The 23623-nt window shown below is 37.4% G+C and overlaps 1 protein-coding gene and 1 pseudogene across 12 annotated transcripts in view; both read left to right on the top strand.

The window, feature by feature from the left end:
- ATP8A1 (ATPase phospholipid transporting 8A1) overlaps positions 1-23623 on the top strand; it is a 248733-nt gene that overhangs the window by 74440 nt on the left and 150670 nt on the right. For 7 of the 12 annotated variants that reach the window (NM_006095.2, XM_011513616.3, NM_001400024.1 and 4 more), the window contains 6 exons: positions 934-1045; positions 2688-2853; positions 4279-4406; positions 6967-7044; positions 7959-8047; positions 13461-13505. In NM_006095.2, the coding sequence (NP_006086.1) occupies positions 934-1045; positions 2688-2853; positions 4279-4406; positions 6967-7044; positions 7959-8047; positions 13461-13505 (618 nt within the window). The remainder of the gene's footprint in view (positions 1-933; positions 1046-2687; positions 2854-4278; positions 4407-6966; positions 7045-7958; positions 8048-13460; positions 13506-23623) is intronic. The other 5 variants (NM_001400027.1, NM_001400026.1, XM_047449508.1 and 2 more) reach the window with 1 other exon arrangement.
- CCNL2P1 (cyclin L2 pseudogene 1) lies at positions 20244-20786 on the top strand (annotated as a pseudogene).

Genomic DNA, 23623 nt, shown 5'->3' with positions numbered 1-23623 from the left:
AATGAATGTTCTAGAGGTTTTAAGTACAGGGACTTGTCTGTAGGGGGTCAGGGCTGGCAATGCAAATAAGTGGTGAGATCTGTGTATTTATCTTAGGAATTTTTTTGCACCTTTATTATGTACAAAGCTATTTTTAATTTGGGTGGGGGGGGAGAGAGAGTGTGTGGGGGGTGGGTGTGTGTGGTGTGTGTGTGTGTTGAGGCTGAGGTGAGTAGACAGATTCCTTATCCCCATCACTTCCTAACACTTTTAGAAATCTAAATGGACTTATTTAGGAAAAGTTATAAATAGTTGTGTAAATTAGCCTCTGAATTCCAAAACATTACCTATTATTTTGGTTAATGTATTAGCTTGCTCAGGCTGCCCTAACAAAACACCATAGACTAGGTGGCTTTAATGATGGAAATTTATTTTTCTCACATTTCCAAAGGCTAAACATCTGAGATCAGAGTACCTGCATGATTGGGTTCTGGTGAGGGTCATCTTCCTGGCTGGCAAAAGGCCCCTTCTTGCTGTGTCCTCACAAGGACAAGAGTAAACTCCTCGAGTGTCTTTTTATAAGGGCATTAATCCCTTCATGAGGACCCAACCCTCATGACCTCTTCTAAATCACATTAGCTCCCGAAGGGTCATTTCCAAATGCCATTACATTGGTGGTAAGAACTTCAACATGTGAATAGTGGAGGGACAGAGTGCAGTCCATACCAGATAGTGAAGTTACAGAAAATGACTGGTTGGTGTTAAGGAAAAGCAATGTAAATACTTGTGTCGTTGCTGTTTAAGAAAATTATTTGTACTGGGGGGAAATTACTTTCCAGAAATAAATATGAGAAGGGTTATTTTAATAATGGGTACTTTTGTAACTATATGGTAACTAGAGTTCTTAAGCATTTTAGAAAATACTGTTTCTAATGTCAACGTAATCTGTCCTAGCACCGTTCCACTGGGAGCAGATCAGATTCTTCTTCGAGGAGCTCAGTTGAGAAATACACAGTGGGTTCATGGAATAGTTGTCTACACTGGACATGACACCAAGCTGATGCAGGTGAAATTTTTCTCTATGAAACCTTTTGGACCTAAGGCTTTTGTGAGTGTATGATTTACAGATCTCAGTGCAGTGGTCCCAAACATAGGAGACCATCTGTCACAGACTCCTGATCCAACCCTATATGTTCAGAATCTGGTACTCCTGTGAGTGGGACCTTGAAATTACCTCCCTATAAGAATGGCTTGGGCTGGGCGCGGTGGCTCACGCCTGTAATCCCAGCACTTTGGGAGGCCAAGGCGGGCGGATCACAAGGTCAGGAGATCAAGATCATGCTGGCTAACACGGTGAAAGCCCGTCTCTACTGAAAATACAAAAAATTAGCCGGGCGTGGTAGTGGACACCTGTAATCCCAGCTACTCGGGAGGCTGAGGCAGGAGAATGGCGTGAATCCAGGAGGCGGAGCTTGCAGTGAGCCGAGATCGCGCCACTGTACTCCAGCCTGGGCAACAGAGCAAGACTCCGTCTCAAAAAAAAAATAAAAAAAGAATGGCTAACTGCACACGGGAATACTGGAAGGTTCACCAGGGATTATGCATGAACTCTCAAGAATTTTGTGTATGGGTCTATGGCAGCATTTACTAACTATTATAGTGATTATTACAAGTCGTCCATGTCATGATAAGTGATCTGCATTAAAACATTTGTCTTGTAATTTTAATGCAATAGTCAACTTTTTAAATTTCTATCTTTTAATAAAATTTTTTAGAAATTTGAATCAAATGACCATTTTTCATAGCATTTATATGTAAGGCTATTTTTGCCATCAGCTTTAATTCTTGCATTGATCTTCACACCTGCCTACAGTTGCTCCGTCCCTGTGTTATACCATCAATATTCAATAGTCAGATGGGTGTGGAAAACAGTTTTAAGAAACTAAATGAAAATCTGCTCTCAGAGCTAATACCTTTGTACCTTGTACAGGCATGAAGGTATTATCAATAGGCAAGCGAGATTGCTGTTAGTGATTCCACCACTAGCCATTTTATAAATTCTATAAATCTTCATTTCATATTCATTCTGACATTTAATTTTCTGTTCTATGGATTTTTTGGTTAGCACAGGTCTACATAACCATTTGAATCATCAAATACAACTGAGGCAACTTGCCTCTGTTATTCTTTATAGCCAGGACTACTTAAATTGTTGCTGCGTTCAGTAAAACAATTGCTAAATGCCACCAGAAATTTGAAAGCCGGAGATCCTTTAAATGTTGCCTTCCTATGTTCAAATTTCCAGGTGCCTGTTTGCGGGAGCATGGGCTGCCTTGTCTGCCTGTCTTCCTGAACGGAAACACTAAATGTTTCTAGACTACCCTGTTTGCTTACATAGCCAAGTAATGCATTATTCATCTTACCTGCCACAATGCAAAAGCTATTTTTGCAAAGGGAATGTAATTTCGTTCTCTTCTTTCTTATAGTTTACTTCCTAGAAAAAGGCCTGGGTGGTGTAGTGGCCTTGAAAAAAAGGTGGTTAACCATTGGCACCTTATTACATTTGTCATGGGTTTCACATAATTTTCACGTATCCACCCACATCTAGATACTGAGTTGTGACTTTGTCATCCTCAACAGAATACTAAGTATAGATTGCTAAATCATTGGTGTACATTTTTTATTACTCATCTTGTTTCTTTTTACAGAATTCAACAAGTCCACCACTTAAGCTCTCAAATGTGGAACGGATTACAAATGTACAAATTTTGATTTTATTTTGTATCTTAATTGCCATGTCTCTTGTCTGTTCTGTGGGCTCAGCCATTTGGAATCGAAGGCATTCTGGAAAAGACTGGTATCTCAATCTAAACTGTAAGCAATAAAGTGCTTACTGCACTTTTTTAGATTAAGACATGTATTTGTTTCACAATTGATCTTGATTTACTTTATTTCGTATTGTTTCTAAAAAGACCTTGTTGCCAAGATAGCTGGACATTTGATCTTTATTTTTCAGTGAGATTTCTAGCAAGTGTAAGTAAAATTTGGGAATCCTAAAATTTCAGAATCCTTAAAAACATAATGAGCACTCTATAGTGGTATAAAATGTTCACTAAGTATAGTCATTTATTATATATATCAACGAAAACTATTCCTTAAAAATATTTTTAACATAGGTGGTTAACTATATGGTAAAGAAAGTAGATTGACCATGTGTGGATATAACAAAACATATATATTTAAATATATATTGTATGTATTTATAAATATATAAAATATTTTAAATATATTTAAATAATATAAATATTTAAATATATTTTATCTTAAATAAAATATACTTTGTTTATATTTTATTTAAATAAAAGTACCAAAAAGTGGTTTATATGGTTTAAAAATGTTTAAACCCAATGTATTTTCATTTGAACTCAGTAATGTGGTAAGTCCTATATTAAATGTTATCTTAGAGAAGGTGCTAGTAAATAGTTTTCCTTTAGAGCATTTATCCTTTTATTATTGTGATATTAATGTACCACCCCTGGATATTTCTGTCAAATGAGTTTACATTTTCATTTCATGAGTACTTAGCCAATAAAGACTTAACTTCCAAAAGTGTGAAAGCAAATTCTAGTACAATCACATAGCAAAAACTGGTATTTTTAAATTTTTTTTATTATATTGATTTATCTTTGCAGCAATTCCAAGTTGTTTTTATAGTTACTGATTTATTATTTCAGTATCAGAACTGTTACTACCATCAGTCTGTTTCTTTGTATACTTTATAATTGTATCTGGTATAGCAGTTTTATTTTCATTTTGAGGAAGAAGAGTATAATGTACCTAGGAGAATAATTTACCTAGGACTGAATATTACTCATATAGTTTGGATTGTTTTTGCTGCTGCTGTCTTGTTTGCTTTTAAAGTATGCTTTAAATTGGAAATACTCTTAAGAATTTATATAAAAGTGATTCTACCCAATTGAGATTTTATATTTATAAACCCTCAGTGCTATCCCTGATGTCTCTAAACTTTGTGTTTGGAAGAGGGTTTGCAATATTTGACAGTCCTTTCACTGTCTTAGTACTTTTATACAGCTCTTACCTGGATTAACAACATATTGAACACAATGCAATTCTATCTTGAAGGATGTACTTGAGAATTAGGATAGATTATCAGCAAAGTGTTCCTCCCAAATTATCAAATAAGCTGCGTAGTATGGAAAACTTGTATTATGCTAATTTGGGGTCAATGCAAATAAAATATAAAACTGTAAATGACGTTCTTCCTGCCTCTCCCAACAGATGGTGGCGCTAGTAATTTTGGACTGAATTTCTTGACCTTCATCATCCTTTTCAACAATCTCATTCCTATCAGCTTATTGGTTACATTAGAAGTTGTGAAATTTACCCAGGCATACTTCATAAATTGGGTAAATATGAATTATGATTGTTATCACCCTACAAAATAATTTTGTCCTTAGGATATTTTGATATCTCAGGAGAAAAAAGGTTTTAATTATATCTACCGTTTCTTGACCACAGTATCAGATTTTTGAACCTAATTTGTTGCAAAGTTCCTCATCTCAGAATCACACAAGTTTACAGGCCAGACATTGTAGGGAAAATGGGTCTCTAGTTCAGGAAACCTATGGTGGTCGTGGGAGATGGAGAACCATGAGTTTGGAGTTAAGTGTCTGAATTATGGTTCTAGTATTATAATTTACTAGGTGTATCAACTTTCTCAAGTCACTTATTTTGAAACTTATTTTCTTGAACACAATCATAGGGATAATATGCCTTACCTACATCTTACAGTGGTTTTATGGACTAAGGAATCTCTTGACATAGCAAAGAGCTTTGAAAATAATCAATCACTATACAAATAATACTGTAATTCTTACTGATATCAACCAGATTATCATGTTATATCATGTTATTTTCTACACTGTAAACAATTTTAGCTTCACTTGAATTTTTCTTCATAATTTTTCTCTTGAATATTGTTAAATATTAGAAAAATGTTGGACATCTACTTTCTAAATGTTTTTAAATGTCTTAGTTTTATTTTTATTAAAGTTAAAATTAATGAATTTATCTAAATTAAATCTGTGGGCCTAATCTGCCAGAAAATTTAATTTTTCTTTTATTTTGAGAAACTTTGTGTTATTTTTGATGTTTCTTTCTTTTTCAATCATTGTAAAGTCTTTCAATATGAACAATATTAGGGTTTCGAAAAATATGACATACTTTTGTAACTGCTCATTATCTTCTTGTAGCGAATTATCTACCTAAACTGTCAATCTCTTAATTCATTGGTAAGAAATCAGTGTGATTTAGAAATCTAAAATGAGCTGCAGGTGTAGCTCACTTCATGCAGGAGATATATGGCTGAAAAATTACGTAATAGGATATGTACAAATATAAGTAAGACTTATTGAAGTTTCTTATAGCAATAATAGGGTAACTCATTGTGAGAATCACATAAGTAAGCTAGATAATCACTTTGTTGTTTTGATTTTCAAAAATAATATCTTTCAAAGAATTATATAATTTTAGTATTGGATGAACCCAGCAGGCTTATGCTTTCAACCACCTTTCTAATATACAGAGATTTTATAACATCTGACAGATAGAACACTGACTTTCCAGCCTTCTTTTACAAAGCAACTTTCTTGTGTGAAAATGAGATTATAACTGTCTTCCTTTGATTCTGGTTCTTCCCAATGGATCTATTAAGAAAATGCTTAATCTTGTTTCTGAATGATAGTCTTGCAAAATATCTGAACTCAGCTATCATGCCAATTCTATCCTATCTTTTCCTTTCTAATTAAACATTCCCCGCCTTCTGTTGTCCTTCAGTTCATGTGATTTCCAGATTAATCTCTATTCTGATCACTTTCTCTTCTGAACAAAGGCCCAGTTGGTTAATCTCTCTCTTAACACATGGCACATAAAACTCAATAACCTATTTCAGAAGTGATGTTGATCAGTTCAGAATACAGACATGGGAGAGATGGGCTTTGAATTTTGACCTTTTCATTTGACATGAAAATTTGTGAACTACAACCCTGATTTGTTAATAAAATAGTCTAATATAGAAAATGTTAATTTCATAGGATAATATAGTCAAGTCTCATGATTACTGGACACAAGGCAAGTACAAATAAGTAAAAAACTATGCTCTTTTTTTTTTTTTTTTTTTTTTTTTTTTTTTGAGACGGCGTCTTGCTCTGTCGCCCAGGCTGGAGTGCAGTGGCGCGATCTAGGCTCACTGCGAGCTTTGCCACCCGGGTTCACGCCATTCTCCTGCCTCAGCCTCCACCGTAGCTGGGACTGCAGGTGCCTGCCACCACTCCCGGCTGATTTTTTTGTATTTTTTTTTAGTAGAGACGGGGTTTCACCGTGTTAGCCAGGATGGTCTCGATTTCCTGACCTCGTGATCCGCCCATCTTGGCCTCCCAAAGTGCTGGGATTATAGGCGTGACATTTTTATCTTTTGAGAAGTGCATTTTGTTTTTCTTTCTTGGCCCAGAAAGTAAAACCAGATAGAATCTCTTGGGTACTTTTTCCAGGGGTTTGAAGACCTAATTATTTGAGCAGTTCTTAGTTGCTGAGTTCTAGCTCACATTACTAAATACCTGCCTTGTGTCGGACACAGTAGGAAGCACTTTGTGTGGTATCTTTTAATCCTTATAATAGGTCATTTATATAGAAAATGGTGGAATGATAGTAAACCTAGATTGCATGATTCATAGACAGGCTCTAACTACCATACTGTTCTGCCCTTACTGTGGAATATAGTAGTCTGTATTGAATACTTTTCAGAAAAATCGAATTAAATGGTATAGGAATAACAGGAAATTAGTGCCTACATATAGTTCATCAAACAGTGACTTATTGAAGTACGAATATACTAATTGTTTTCTTTTAAAGTTTCACCCAATTCCTTATTACCAGTTGTGTTCAATGATTTACTTAATTTTATTAAAGGATCTTGACATGCACTATGAACCCACAGACACTGCTGCTATGGCTCGAACATCTAATCTGAATGAGGAACTTGGCCAGGTAAACTCAATTTATTGTTGATTATGTGTGGAATTAAAAAGTTAGATTTGGTGTGGTATCTGCCATATATGATAACTGCAGATGAATGGACAGCTTTTAATTTTCCACTATTTGAATAATATATTTGTTAGTGCATGATGAACAATTCTCATTTTTAATAAATCAGTTTTTAAAAACACTGTCTCAAGGAGATTTTGCTCTCAAGGTAAAGCACTCCAAGAGCTTCGAGATGTCCCTTGGTATATAGTCAAGCTAGTATGCAACATATTGGCTATTTTCAAGTTATAAACGTAGTTTTAGAATTGTTCATACCTTTCAGCCAGGAAGGGAGGAAAAGTTCATCAACGAAGCTATGTGAGTCTAGTCAATAGGAATGTTAGATTTATAATTCATACTATATTCACATATGTGTATATTTGTAATCCATTAACATATTCTAGGTTTTTCTTTTTTGTATTGTTGCCATATTCCAACTTATGCTTTACAAATAGCATCTAGTCCAGAATTATTCTTATTTCTTACCAGTTCAGATGTTGCATGAAGTTAATTGCGCAAGCTGTTACAAATTCTACAATTGCCTGTTGCATTGAGAAATGCTGATAGCTGTTTCAGTGCTCTGTAAATGTTAAGTAGTGGTAGTGGCACTTTCTAGTGGAAATTCAGACCATACTAAGGCATATGTCTATATAGTTTTCTAGTATGGTGATAGTCTTTAATATTCATATGTGAAAAGATTCATTTGTAAAATACTTTTTAAAAAGCTGAATATATTCCTTGATAAATGGGCAGAAAATAGTTCCTTAGTAATATTCATTGTGCCCCTGCAATGTTAATAAAAAGCATGAGGGGTTTCTCTGTAAAAGAGTGGCATAAAGACTTTCAAAATATTAATGAGAAATTTTAAACTTTTTTAGGTTAAATACATATTTTCTGACAAAACTGGTACTCTGACATGCAATGTAATGCAGTTTAAGAAGTGCACCATAGCGGGAGTTGCTTATGGGTGAGTTTTTTCCTTTAATTAGGATATGAAATACATGCTTAATTAGTGCTAACAGTTTGGTACATTTGGGAGTTCTTATTAGGGGAGGGTATGGGGTTGTTTGGTTTTTTTTAGTCTGAAAAGCAGCTGTTATAATTTTAGGACACATGTATATTTCGCGTTTCTAGTTTAGCATTGTTTTCATTTGGGATGACATGAGGTGGGTGCTCTGCCCAATGGTATTTTCAGTGTTTAGTGTTGCTGAAAGTCTCTCTCTTGCCCTGGTAATAAGGAACAAATATATTTCCTTTTACACTACTATAAACTGGAGTATAGCTTGGATCTGGTAAGGACAGATAATCAGGCCTTGAGCAGTTTTCAAGTTAAAATAGTGACAGTTACCCCTTTTGATACTTTTTTTTTCTTCTATCATCTCTCCTTTTTGCAGTCATAGAGCAATCTAAAATTCTGATGATGGAAAGGAGGTAGAGACATGAAACTCTTGAATCTGGAGGATAATTAATATCATCAGAAACTTTTATCAGGCTGTTAATTTCTTTAGAATTGCTTGTTGAGCACCCATTTAATTTATTTCTTACTTCCAGGTATGCTTACAAGCTGTTCCATAGCCTTCTCTTTAAAATATTTTATAGGGTAATGTGAGAAAATTAATTTCTACATTTCCTAGAAAAGACATCAAAAGGTGAAACACTCTCCTGGCTGGTTGACATTGGCCTATTGTCAAACTTGCCAATTATCCTTATCTACCTAGAAGTGAGACTAGTAAATATCAGCCTCCTACTCATACAAGCATGGACACTTGCTTCTAGGTTTTCTGGCTTGCACCCACTCTTCCCCACTCACTCTGAGCAGTAAGCCAGTGACAAAGAGTGTTACATTTTGAAATGCCTTAGTTAAAATTATAAATAAGTAAACATTTCATGAAAAATCCCAAAAGTATATGGTTATTCCTAGATATCCTTGTTCTTTGCGTTACGAGAGCATGACTAAAAATGACTATAAACTATATGTATAAACGAGGTTAAAAAGGCAGTTGAGTGGCTTTTTCACACTGTAAAGACAGCCTGTTGATTTAAGAAGCATACTTACTGCTTCCCGGGCTGGATGCTGTTTTTCATCTTTCTTCTTTATCTGAAGATGTTCTAATTTCCTTAGATGTAAGAGGCTCACCTGCCTCCTCCACCCTCCTCCCAACAAATTGCTACTGGAGCAGGAGAGTTGCAGCCACACTTTTTGACATCTTGTACTTATATATTCTACCCACAATCATCCCAGAGGAGAAAAGTAAAGCCTATTGCAATTCTAGAGTTCTCAGATTTATGATGATTTTTTTACACAAATTCTGTATTCATTCATAACTAGTATTTCCACAATGGCCTGTTTAATAATTGGCATTGTTTTTTACTTTGTGTGATTTTATAATTCAATAAGCAGGTTCATCAAATTAGTAATTATTGATTGTGAAATTTTCAGAACAGAAAGCTAAAATCAGATCTAGCCTCTGTTTTCTTCCGCATTTTATCAGGTTTTTTCTTATTCTTGGAAGAGGTCCTTAAACACTCCTAGGCAGTAGTTCTAAAGAGCAGTGCCCATCTGTGTCTGTTGACAATGTCATCATTAACAACTGTTATAGGGTGGGTCTGAGCTCAGTATTGTCATCATTGAGATTAAATTGCCAGTGAAGTGAATTTCTTCCTGAGGAAATAATATTTCTTAATCCTGAGATACAGTCAGAAGCCATGAGTTCTGGCTTTGTCTAGAATTTACCATGTAATCCTAGAAAATCTATTTTCAGATATTCCCTACTCTTTAAGATGTGGATAGTGAGACCAAACCATTTCTAAAGTCCTTTTCCAGATACGAAATCTAACATAATGTTTAGAAATAAACAGAAGTTTATTTGTTTGCAAATTTTAACTGTATAAGCCGAAATCTGTTTCCTTTTTAGTTATGGTATCATATTTTCAAGGATACCAGAAGCCATGTAGAGTAAAGCTAGTTAAACTGCTTCCAGTGATCATGTTTGTGTATGTGCTTTTAGGCATCCTTAACCTTGAGTTTTTATCAGTGTTCCCTCCCAAACACATCCTGGTGGATTATTGGACTGTTAGCATCGTAGAGAGTTGTTGATGTCTGAAAGTTTTGGAGAAACCGTGACTTCTGACTTGACCACATGTTTACAGCAGGGAAAATAACACTGTTACTTAATTACAGCCAGTCTCCATGGTTAGATGTGAAGGGGTGAGAGAGAGTAATTACTGTCTAGCACTTTTCTGTGTAGATTTCCTCTGGGCACTCTTGGATTATGGGAATCCAGATGGGGGAAATGACCTGGCTTTGCTATCTTATTTTCCCCAGAGCAGCATTTAACAATTGCTTAATATGGGAACTATTATGTATGAGCACTTTTAACCCCAGTGGAAGAAAGCAAGGTGTTTATGCCCCTAGGGAGGTGGCAAAACCAGAGAGTAACACAAAATTTCATATCCTGACAAAAGCCTTTGGTGTTACAAGTGCAGAGCTGATTTTGCCTCAGTGTTGCCAAAACATCAGGTACAGCTCAGTTTCACCCCAGATAGGGTTCAAGTGAGTTCTGTTGTGTCTTATCAGAAGAATAAGGCTTGAAGTTTCCTGATAGTATAATTCCTAGCTAGTTCTGGGTATTCCATGTTTGTAAGAAAATTATAATTAACACTTAAAACCGTGCATCAGAATTTAATTTTAATAAATTTTCTTTGATTTCCCTGAACCTTCGCCCCAAATTGGATTCATGATGGGCAATAAAATAGATTTGTACATAGTTGCCAATGATGATTATCTTGTAGAAATCAACTTTTAGTTAGGAATGCACTGCAAAATTATTAGATTATTTCATTAGATCTTTTTATGGGACAATTACAGTAAAATGTAAGTGAATTGTGATATCATTTGTAAATTTAACTTATGACAAACCAGACATTTTACTGTAAACATTAGTTATTAAAGTATCATTTCAGCTAATTGCTTCTTGTAGGGAATAAGTCAGTTTTATAATAGTTACTTGAATACCCGGAATAGGTAAGCAGTTTCTCTGTTCAGGGGCCACAAATCTCAATAGAGTGAAGATTCTGGGATACAGTCCTAAGTGCCATCTTTGTAAAAAAAAAAAAAAAAAATTTAGACCTTTTAGAATAAGTTGGATGAGGCTTAACAAGATACAGTCTATAAAAAGAAATTCTGTTAAGCAAACAAAATGCTTTTTTGTGTGGACAAGGCATTTAATTCGTATTAAAAACATCATTTGCATTTTCCCTTTAAATGAAAAATAAGTTTTTAAAAGCAATCTTTATATATGAATATACTGTGTGAATAACTTTACTTGACAGTATTTGGTTTAGCTATATATTTGCTGGAAGGATCGGCTACTTCTTTAACCCCAAGAAGAGACTCACCACGAGAAATTTCACGATTATCATAATACTATCCCCCAAGATCTTGCTACAGCCATGTTTATCTTACTGCTCACCATGACTTGTGATAAATTCTAGTCAACTCCATTCATTTATTTATCTGTATATCTCAAGTGTTGATGTATGTGACACTTTGATAGATAATGCAGGTAAAAAAGGCAAAAGTTCACATGATTTCCTCCTGCCTAAAGTGTATAGTCTAATTGGCACTTAGTGGATGCTAATTAAGTAATCATACAGACAAATATAAAGTCCTAACACAGTATAGAGGTCTATGTGAGGCTATAATGGGTGGTTTGATCTAAACAGGGAAGGCAAGGAAATATGCCCTAAGAAAGTGATTCTGGAGTTGAGATCTAAGAATGAATTTGATTAAGTGAAGAACTTACCAGGTAGATGTTATAGCACTGGCACATACAAAGGCAAAAAGCCAGATACCACGTAGACACCAGAGCTTCTGGAGCAGCAATAACAGGGAAACTTGCATATAGGATCAGTGGCAGGTTTGCAGGCCACCTACTGCTCATCGGGCTCTAGGTAGTGCTCAGCATTCTTCCAGGGCTGCGCCAGAGTTGTGAAGAGGGTCTCTGGCACTTGAGCTCTGGAGCTTTTAAGCTGCATGACTTGGGAAACTTTATCCCCTGTCCTGGTATGAGATTGGGGCTAGTGCAGCTTGGCAGGACCATGCACAGTGTTGCTTGGTTAGTACCAGGCCCTTCCCTGGCACAGTCCATGGGCTAGGGTCCAAGCCTTGAGGCTGATCTGAAGTGATTGCTTTAAACATGGAGTTGCAGCCAGTTTCCACAGAGCTTTGCAGCATGCCAACTCCTTTTCTTGGAGTCCAGCCCACAAAGGGCTTGATTAGCCCTTCTTCTTAAGCAGGCACAAAAGCCCTTTGGTAGGAGAGAGAATAGTGAGTTAAAAGGGACCACCTCCATTGTGATTGGAGTGATATAGTGGATACTGCACTGGAAGCAAATTAATGTTTTGGTAGTGGAAGAGGTGCCTTGGAATGATGAAGTCCCTGCCTTGGCTGGGTTGATGAAAGATTGAACTTTTAGGAAGTGAAAGGATCCCATGAGTTTTTAACAAAGTTTATTGTATATTCGTCAAAAATAACAGTGACTTTTCATTTGTACTGAACTCTGCATTTTAAAACTCCATGTCTAATAAATTTACAGGAAAAGTATATGATTATATTATGAAAGAAATGGAAAATAAAAAAATCTGGTCTGTCATGTATTATGGGCCCCTTCCAATTGAATACATGACTGGCTGAAATGAAGTACATCTATCAGACTTTCCTAGTGTTCAGATGAGCGAATGGATGAAATTAAAGAAGATATTAATGAATATGTTTCCTGTTTGAAATAAAGAGTGTTTTAATGAGTGAAATAGTTTAAGTGAAAATTTTTTAATATCATTTAAATTCTTAAACTAAGGTTCCATTTAATTATAGAAATGCAGGTAACTTTTACTTTAATGTACCTGTTGAAGTAACCATCATCTCGTGGTAGCCAAAGTTACTTCTAAAATGTATTTGACAAATTTTATTAGTGTGATAATTTGTTTCAAGATATTAGCATGTTTGTTACCTTGAAACACTTTATTCTGATTATATAACACATATGATTAATTTTCCATTGGCTTTAGCATTTCAACTGCTAAGTTGAAATAATTCCTACTGAATTATGAACTTTGTGAATAAAATCAGTAAATGTTCTGGTGAAGAGGCAAATTGGCTATACAGTTACAGGATAACTTTGTAAACCTGCTGAGCTACCATGAATCATTATGTTCTATTTGCTGTACTAACTGCCATTCTTTCAGATTCAACTAAAAGTTCATTTTGTTAACTTTTCAGTGATCCATCTTTTTATACTTCCCTTCTTCGTGGTTTTATGTTTCCAGCCTTTCTGTGATTATTTTTCCTCTCTTTCTGCCTCTCTTCTTGCTTTCTGAAGCCATGTCCCTGAACCTGAGGATTATGGCTGCTCTCCTGATGAATGGTAAGCTCTATGGAACTTTCTGCCTCATTGATCCCTATAAAAGGTTTGCATTTTATTGTTTTGTAAGACACATTTCACTCTCTTTTATATAAATATATATATATAAATAAAATATTGCTGAGCAGTTAGGGTAACAATGCTGTAAAGTAGATATTTCTTGAAATCTATTGAATATTCCTGATTTTTGATGGAGAAACATGTAGTTTATAGATTAGGTTTGCCAGAGTTTTACATTGTTTATCTGTAATAAAGTCTAATGATCAATTCCAGAGTGTGGGCTTTGGACTACCTCAGGTTTCAGCTACAGCTCCTGAAGCCGTCAGGTTTTTCTAGCTCAGTACTGCCACCTTCTGCCGCTACTTATGTACTTTACAGAGCTACCAAAAGAGGCTACTGAAACATACCCAAGCAGTGGAAATTTTCTTCTGTGTTTCTTACGATTATTCTAATAAGTCTGTGTGCAGGCTATGAAGTGAACGTTTTTAAAATCTGCACCAAATGTTAGAAAACTATGCTACCAAGCACTAGAGTTAACTTTAGTATATTTAATTTTGGCATCATTAAAGTTAGCGTTTTATGGGTTTAATTTCACTATTTTATGAGTTTTTTGTTGGTTTTACCTTAAAATTCCTCCCCTTTGTGAATTTATATTTTCATCTTGGATAGTGCAGATTTATTTTGATATTTCTATAATTCATCATGAGTTGGTGGGCAAATGAAATTTCAGGAAATATGTTCCTTTAATGTTGGTAACTTTAGAAAACATTGAGAATTTATAGGTCATTCCATTTTTATTTTCATATTACTCATGTATTTGGTGACGAAGCCACATTTTCAATATACTTTGAAGTCGAATAACATCATTTAAATATTTTTCAACAGGGAATTTATTTCAGTGAAGTGAAGATTTGGTAAAAATTTTCAGTAAATCTCACAACACCTAGGGTTAATGACAGGCAGCTGTTTGGTTCTTGTGACAACTGATGAGACACCACATGCCCATTGCTTGGAGTGTCGTACATTTTGACACTTACACACAAGTAATTTTTAATATTTTTAAATGTACCAAAGCATCTTACTATTAGTGGATAATTCAAGTTTAATATTGTATATATTCCCTCTTATTTAATCCTTTGAGAAGTAGTTAAAATTTCGACTATATCTGCTTTTCTATAACATTAACATAATTCTATTAATTTTAAATATTGTTCATTAGCATAGAAGTGATATATATATCCTCTAAAATAACTCAGTTATTCCTAAGAAGAAATTGCCTTCTCCATATTTTTCTTAATGTTGGAAGGAAATGTTAAAAATTGATGTTTGTTTACTCACGTCATTCAAAATATTCTACTTTCAATAGAGGTTGTTTCATAACTTTTATTGGTGCTGGAAAGAGCGGATGTTATTTTATCTAGTTTAGTAAGTTCTTTTTGTAAAACACCCTTTTGGAAAACTTGATATTCTAAACTAGGTAACTCCAAATAAGAAATTGTCAGCTTTGTCATAAATTGCTTGTACATTTCCACTTATAGTTACATATAAGCTTAGATAGTAATGATTTTTAAAAATAACAATAGGGAAGGCTTTCACTACCGTTACAGTAAAGTGAGTTGTTTGTTAAGAGGGAGTCTCACTCTATCACCCAGGCTGGAATGCAGTGGCACAATCTCAGCTCACTGCAACCTCCACCTCCCAGGTTCAAGTGATTCTCCTGCCTCAGCCTCCCGAGTAGCTGGGACTACAGGCATGCACCACCACACCTGGCTAATGTTTGTATTTTTAGCAGAGATGGGGTTTTACTATGTTGGCCAGGCTAGTCTTAAACTCCTGACCTCAGGTTATCCGCCCGCCTCAGCCTCCCAAAGTGCTGGGATTACAGGTGTCAGCCACCATGCCCAGCCTCAAGCTTTATTTTAAATATATACTTGGATTCTCCATCTATAAAATAAGTAATTACCTATAGGCCTGCAAAAATGAAAGAACAAATGTTTCCTGAGCTGCTACTGTGTCCAAGGTTACGTGGAGTGATCAAAGATGTGGGCTTTGGATACTAAGCAACCAAGTTCAGATTTTCATTCTACTGGTACTGTTGAACAAGTTACTCAACTCTTTGCCTGAATGTCCTCATCTGGAAGAATGTAGATAATAATAGTAGTTGCATCATCAGGAGGTTTTGAAGATTAGATGAGCTCTGTTTGTGTAGTGCTTTGGATAGTGTCTGCACATAGTCAGCCCACACTGAGTGTTAGTTCTGGTGCTCTCACTTAATCCTCATGACATATTTGACATGGCCATTTTAAAGTTGGTGAAATTCAGGCAAAGAAGCAGTTTGCCCCAAATTATAAAAACGAGTAGATGATGTGAGAGTTGAAACCTACATCAGCCTGGTTATAAAACAGTACTGGTTACATTACATCCTATGGACTCTAAGTAACTTTAAAGAATATCTGCTTTTTAGATCACAAGATATCCTTGAAATTTCAGTCATTTTACCTTGATATTTCTCTTTTTCATTTAATATTTTTCAACCTAGAATTTCTTTCAGTAAATTTCTTGTGGTGTTAGGCAAGAGCAGATTAAGCAGGTAAAATTTAACAAGTTTGTGTAAAGTTAGCATGAGGGCATACAACTTTGCACAACTTTGAGCATTTGCCCAACCTCATCCACTTGGTTTCACATTGCCAATGAAACCAAGATCAAAAGTGTGATCCCAGTTGAATCCTGTGCTCCAGGCATCTGACTGCATCTTCATGCTGATCTTCAGGAGTAAAGAGTATAGATGACTCTATAAATCCAAAATCTGAAAGGGCATTCCAATATGGCTGTTCAGCAGCTTCAGTTTCATGTAAAGTTCATTGAATTCCATGTATAAAACCCATGAGCTTATGTGTATTTTACTGCCCGACTTGAACCAGTATTCACAAAAATGCCAAATTAAAAAAACATAATTACCTCTTAGATATATGTAGATTACATATTTACATTTAGTTGAGTTTGAAGGCAAACCTATAATGTATTAAGTCTTTCCACATATTCTGTTAACATTAAAGATAATCAGATGATGGTTGTAGCTCTACTCGCTTAGGTGTATTAATATAAATAGTTTATAGAGATAAAACTATTTCCCAACCAGTAGCTACCTACTGCAGATTAACCTGGTTTTCTCATCATTGCCAAGAACCATCAGCTAGCATATAACCTCACAGATTAATTCCTTTTTATTAAAAATCTACTGCTCTAGATTGATAGTATCAATACTTTGGATTGAAGGGGAAAATCTATTTATTCTTAACATCAATGTAGCCCTAAGATATGCTCATTTTCTAAAACTATATATTTCTATAATTATTTTTTATCATTTTCTGTCTTCTGTTGTGGAAAATTTTAAGCATGAACAAAAGCAGACAGATGTACTGATCCACCTGCTTCAATAATATGCACTTAAGACCAGTTCATTTATGCCTTTCCCCCACTATCATTTTGAAGCAAATCCAAAATAACATATTATTTGTTTTTTCTCAACTGTTTAATATAGTTTCACATTATTCTTGTTGATAATCGTTCAAGTAAATGCTAGTGAGGGTGATTCCCCAGAAGGATCACCTTAAAGTGTTCTGTGCTTAGTCATTTCACTGGGGTTTTTAGTATTATCACACTATCAGTGGATAGTACTACACTGTATTTTCTATCCTCTGGTCTTATTTATTTTCTCATTTCATTCTGGTCTGTAGTTATGTATGAAGTGAGTGGTATTCATTTATTCTGCCGCAAAAGCTAGGCTCACTAAAACATTCTTCCAGGTGTGACTGTATAACAAAGAGATCTGACACATCCAAATTAATGTTAGTCTTCAAAGCAGTCACCTTGGCAGATAGTTTATTTATTCCAGTAAGGCAGCCATTTCACAGAATGTTTTTGAAATTCCTCTTTTGTAATTGCCTTTAGAAAGATGTTGAGTCACATAGTGTATTAGTCCGTTTTCAAGCTACTGATAAAGACATACCCAAGACTGGACAATTTACAAAAGAAAGAGGTTTAATTGAACTTACAGTCCCATGTGGCTGGGGAAGCCTCACAATCATGGCAGAAGGCAAGGAGGAGCAAGTCATGTCTTACGTGGATGGCAGCACGCAAAGAGAGAGCTTGTGCAGGAAAACTCCCCCTTATAATAACCATAAGATCTCGTGAGACTTAATTCACTGTCACGAGAACAGCACAGGAAAGACCTGTCCCCATGATTCAATTACCTCCCACCAGGTCCCTCCTATAACACGTGGGAATTCAAGGTGAGATTTGGGTGGGGACACAGCCAAACCATATCATTCCACCCCGGCCCCTCCCAAATCTTATGTCCTCACATTTCAAAACCAATCATGCCTTCCTAACAATTCCCCAAAGTCTTAACTCATTTCAGCATTAACTGAGAAGTCCACAGTCCAAAGTCTCATCTGAGACAAGGCAAGTCCCTTCTGCCTATGAGCCTGTAAAATCAAAAGCAAGTTACTTACTTCCTAGATACAATGGGAGTATAGGCATGGGATAAATACAGCCATTCCAAATGAGAGACATTGGCCAAAACAAAGGAGCTACAGGCCCCACGCAAGTCCAGAATCCAGCAGGGCAGTCAAATCTTAAAGGTCCAAAATGATCCCCTTTGATTCCATGTCTCACATCCAGGTCACACTGATGCAAGAGGTGGGTTCCCATTGCCTTGGGCAGCTCCACCCCTGTAGCTCTGCAGGGTACAGCCTCCCTCCTGGCTGCTTTCACAGGCTGTCATTGAGTGTCTGCGGCTTTTCCAGGTGCATGGTGCAATGCTAGATCCACTGGGATCTAGCATTCTGGGGTCTGGAGGATGGTGGCCCTCTGCTCACAGCTCCACTAGGGACTCTGTTGGGGGGGGCTCTGACCCCACATTTTCCTTCTGCACTGCGCTAGCAGAGGTTCTCCATGAGGGACCCACCCCTATAGCAAACTTTTGCCTGGACATCCAGGCATTTTCATACATCTTCTGAGGTCTAGGCAGAGGTTTCCAAACCTCAATTTTCCCCGCCCCGCAACCCCAGACAGAATTCTGCTGTCTTGTCCAGGCTGGAGTGCAGTAGTGCAATGTTGGCTCACTGCAACCTTTTCCTCCTTGGTTCAAGTGATTCTCCTGCCTCAGCCTCCCAAGTAGCTGGGATTACAGGCATGTGCCACCATGCCCAGCTAATTTTAAGTATTTTTAGTAGAGACAGGGTTTCCCCAGTTGGCTGGGCTGGTCTTGTACTCCTGACCTCAGGTGATCCACCTGCCATGGCTTCCCAAAATGCTAGGATTACAGATATGAGCCACCACGCCTGGCCCAAACCTCAATTCTTGATTTCTGTGTACCCACAGGCTCAACACTGCATGAAAGCTGCCAAGACTTGGGGCTTCCACCCTCTGAAGCACTAGCCTCTTTTAGTTATGGCTGGAGTGGCCGTGACACAGGGCACCAAGTCCTAGACTGCACACAGCATGGGGACCCTGGCCCTAGCCCATGAAAACATTTTCTCCTAGGCCTCTGGACCTGTGATGGGAGGGGCTGCCATGAAGACCTCTGACATGCCCTGGAGACATTTTTCCCATTATCTTGGGGATTAATATTCGGCTCCTCGTTACTTATGCAAATTTCTGCAGTCAGCTTCAAATTCTCCTCAGAAAATAGGTTTTTCTTTTCTATCACATTGTCAGGCTGCAAATTTTCCAAATGTTTATGCTCTGCTTCTCTTATAAAACTAAATGCCTTTAACAGCACCCAAGTCACCTATTGAATGCTTTGCTGCTTAGAAATTTCTTCCGCCAGATACCCTAATCATCTCTCTCAAGTTCGAAGTTCCACAAATCTCTAGGGCAGGGGCAAAATGCTGCCAGTCTCTTTGTTAAACATAACAAGAGTCACCTTTTCTCCAGTTCCCAACAAGTTCCTTGTCTGCATCTGAGACTACCTCAGCCTGGACCTTATTGTCCACATCACTATCAGGCTTTAGTCAAAGTCCTTCAAGTCTCTAGGAAGTTCCAAACTTTCCCACATTTTCTTGTCTTCTTCTGAGCCCTCCAAACTGTTTCAACCTCTGCCTATTACCCAATTCCAAAGTGGCTTCCACATTTTCGGGTATCTTTTCAGCGGTGCCCCACTCTACTAGTATCAATTTAATGTATTAGTCTGTTTTCACACTGCTGATAAAGACATACCTGAGACTGGGCAATTTACAGAAGAAAGAGGTTTATTGGACTTACAGTTCCACGTGGCTGGGTAAGCCTCACGATCATGGCAGAAAGCAAGGAAGAGCAAGTCATGTCTTACATGGATGCCAGCAGGCAAAGAGAGCTTGTGCAGGAAAACTCCCCCTTGTAATAACCATCAGATCTTGTGAAATATATTCACTGTCACGAGAACAGCACAGGAAAGACCTGCCCCCATGGTTCAATTGCCTTCCATCAGGTCTCTCCTACAACATGTGGGAATTCAAGATGAGATTTGGGTGGGAACACAGCCAAACAATATCACATAGAAAACCAGGCCTCATTACTTTGGTCAAAACCAGTATCTAACAAAAATATTATTATTGAATTCAATCACTTGCTCATATTTTTGGACTCTACTTTGGACTTTACTTTGCAGCCAGTTGTACCATTGAAAAGCAGGAGGTGCAGAACTTTCCCCCAAAACAATGCTTTCTTAGCCAGGTCCCAAGGCCAGAGGTCCCAGGAGCAGCAGCAGCAGCAGCAGTGGGTCCCCCAGGAGAGCCTCTAAGGTCACACAGGGTGCCCACTGCAGACAGGCTATAGTGCATGGTGCCTCCTCCCTGACAACCACCTCCACTTCACACCAGCCACAGCAAGGAACTTTGGCACCAGCATGGATCTCTGCCTGCTGCCGATGGCATGACTGTCGAACAGGTGGTGTTCCATCAGTTCTTTATACCAAGTCCTTTGTGAAGCATTCCACAGAGCATGTGTCAATGGCATGTGTTCACCCGACCTCCAAAATAGAAGAGACTCCAAGACAAATAGGAGATATCATCAGCGTGTTTCATCACCTCTGACATCTGAGAGAAAAAAGAAACCTGAGCCTCTACTATTGGATCAAAATTACGTTAACTTAAAGAACCAGATTATAAAAAGCAGAAAGATGAGGGCTCCAAGAGCCAGACTTTTGTCACGATACCCACCATTAGATCATCATTATAATACCTTCAGGTGTTACAGTGTTAGTGCAACTAACACCTGGCCCATACGTCATGGAATTGCACAGGAGGGCACAGGAAAGCCTCATGAATGTCTTACCAAACAGGGAGAGAAATGGAGGCAGAGCGGGAGCTAGGAGCAGTTTTTAGGTCCCTATTGAGATCCACTCCTTCCAAGAGGAGGAAGAGCCACAGAGCTCAGCTCCCTGCAGGTCTAAGTCAAAGAGCCAGTGACTTCTGTTGAGATGAGCTGGTGGTGCTCCCTACAGAGGCTCCCTGTGTCCAAGGACTACGAGCCCCCTACAAAAGTCTCACAAGTCTTAGAGACAGACCTCATCCAATTCATGAAGCCACTCATTGGAGTGGGCAGATAATTCTGAAAATACAATAAGAAAAGTTGTAACTACAGAGATCAGTTTCAGGGTGGTTGAGGTTGTGAGTGGGCCATCACTGTGAGTGGGACTACTTTGGGAACAGCAGACATCAGAGGGTAAGCCAGGGGTCCCAGAGTCACTAGCTGACCTCAGGCCTTTTCCCAGAGGGATGTCTGGAGGGCTGCCTACCTTTGAGCCATTGGCATGTCCACCTCAGTGTGAGTGGCCCCACATTACAACTCTTTCTGGAAAAGGTTATTGACCCTGGACCTTGTGATGAACTTTGAAATGGAATTGAGGAGACCATAAGTGCTCTTCAGGCCGGCCCGAGGCCCAGTGCGCACCTGTCCCAGTGCGCGGCCCACCTGAGCAGCAGCCGTGCACACGCTGGATAAAAAGCAAGTGCACTTGTCCTCGTTTGTGTGGCTTGGTGCTAACAAGCTGCCTCTTCACTCCCAAACCAATACTCAATTACGTTAGGCCAATAAAATGGCTATATTCGCTTGAATTTACATATATATGTTTCAGTGGCTCGCAATATGAGAAAAATGATCTTAATAGCTCCATTATCTATCCATGTTATAAATAAACATGTTTAAAACAAGTTAAAGCTACATATGAGAACTCAGAACCTGAATTTTCCACTTAAAACTTGTTAAATGGGAAAAATATTAGGTTGGTGCAAAAGTAATTGTGGTTTTTGCAATTGTTTTTTAATGGCAAAAATCTCAAATTACTTTTGCACCAATCTAATATTTAGATCTGTGTTGAAAATCATAGACTTTTCTCTGTGCAACCTAAGTGCAGGCTACCAGCTCCTAAATAAAGAAATTCCCTGTATGTGCATGTTATGTAGTTAAACAATTCTGTCTACTCAGGACATTTGGAATGTTAAAGAATTCGTAATTTGTCATTCTGCTTGCTTAAGTGTTCAAATGTGTACACAACCATGAGTTCCCATTCTAGTGGTATGTCTGAGCTGCCCTCCCTGTTCCTTACTCATTAAAGTGATGAATTTTGTAAAAACAAAACAAAAACCCACACAACAAAACGGTGTTATTTTAAAGTTATCCTGCTTTTTTCGTGTGTGCATGAGTGTAATATGTATATGTGTATAATGTGCATTTAGTGTATAGATAGGGTGTTTATTTCAGATGACTGATGGGTTTTGTACTTGTTTTAAATTTGATTTTTTTAAGTTCACAATGCATTAACATATTACAAATTCAAGGAGTGTAAAAGAAAAGGTTTTGATCCCCTCCCTGTCTTAGAGCCCTCCATTTCCCCTGCCAAAGACAGCCTGTGTGACTAATTTCAAGTGTATCTTTACCGATCTCTTCTATAAATATTCATACATTTATTTTTTCTCTCTTATTTTTACAGAAAGTGAAGCATACTGTACACACTGCTTTGCACCAGCTTTTCATTTGACAGTGCATCTCTGAGATTTTTTCATATTCCATAAAAAGCTTCCCTTTGTTTGTAAATGCACCACAGTATTTTTAAGCAGCACTACTGATGGGCCTTTGTGTTTCCTAACTCTTTGCTATTAAAACTGGACTGTAGGGGTTGGGTGCAGTAGCTCACGCCTGTAATACCAGCACTTTGGGAGGCCGAGGTGGATGAATCACCTGAGGTCAGGAGTTCAAGACCAGCCTGGCCAACATGGCAAAACCTTGTCTCTACTAAAAATACAAAAATTAGCCAAGAGTGATGACACATGCCTGTAATACCAGCTACTTGGGAGGCTGAGGCAGGAGAATCGCTTGAACCCAGGAGGTGGAGGTTGCAGTGAGCTGAGATTGTGTCACTGCACTCCAAGTGAGCCAAGACTGTGCCGTTGCACTCCAGCCTGGGTGACAGAGTGAGACCCTGTCTCAAAAATCAAAACAAAAAACAAGTACTGCAAAGTATAAATTTGTACATATAGTATTTTATACCAGTTAAACAATATAAATTCCTAGAACTGGAATTACTGAATCAAAGTATTTTAAATTTTAAATTTTGCCCAATTGCTTTTCTTTTAGAATTTGTATAGTTTATGTTCTCACCAATGATACATGCTTTACTATTTTCCTACAATTACAACAGCACAAAGTTGTCAAGTTTTATTTTTGCCACAATGATACATTTAAATTTCACCTCTCTCATTATGAGGTAAAGTTGAATGTATATATAAAGCCATTTATATTTCCTTCCTTGTGAATTGTGTGTTTATATCCTTTGCTCATTGTTGTACTACATTGTTGATCTTTTTGTAAATTGATTTCTGGTAATTCTTTTTATTCCATGGAAATTAGCCTTTATAAGTTGGAAATATTTTTTCCCAGTTTGTCATTTAGCTTTTGACTTTTCTTGCAGAAGTTGGTTGTGTTTTGTTTTGTTTTAAGAGATGATCTCCCTCTGTCACCCAGGCAGGAGTGCAGTGGTACCATCATAGCTCGCTGCAGCCCCAAACTCCAGAGCTCAAGGGATCCTCCCACTTCTGCCTCCCAAGTAGCTGGGATTACACACCACCAGCTGGTGCATA

Source organism: Homo sapiens, chromosome 4 (assembly GCF_000001405.40).
Source record: "Homo sapiens chromosome 4, GRCh38.p14 Primary Assembly".
NCBI classification, from domain to species: domain Eukaryota; kingdom Metazoa; phylum Chordata; class Mammalia; order Primates; family Hominidae; genus Homo; species Homo sapiens.
This window is presented reverse-complemented; position numbering and strand designations above follow the sequence as displayed.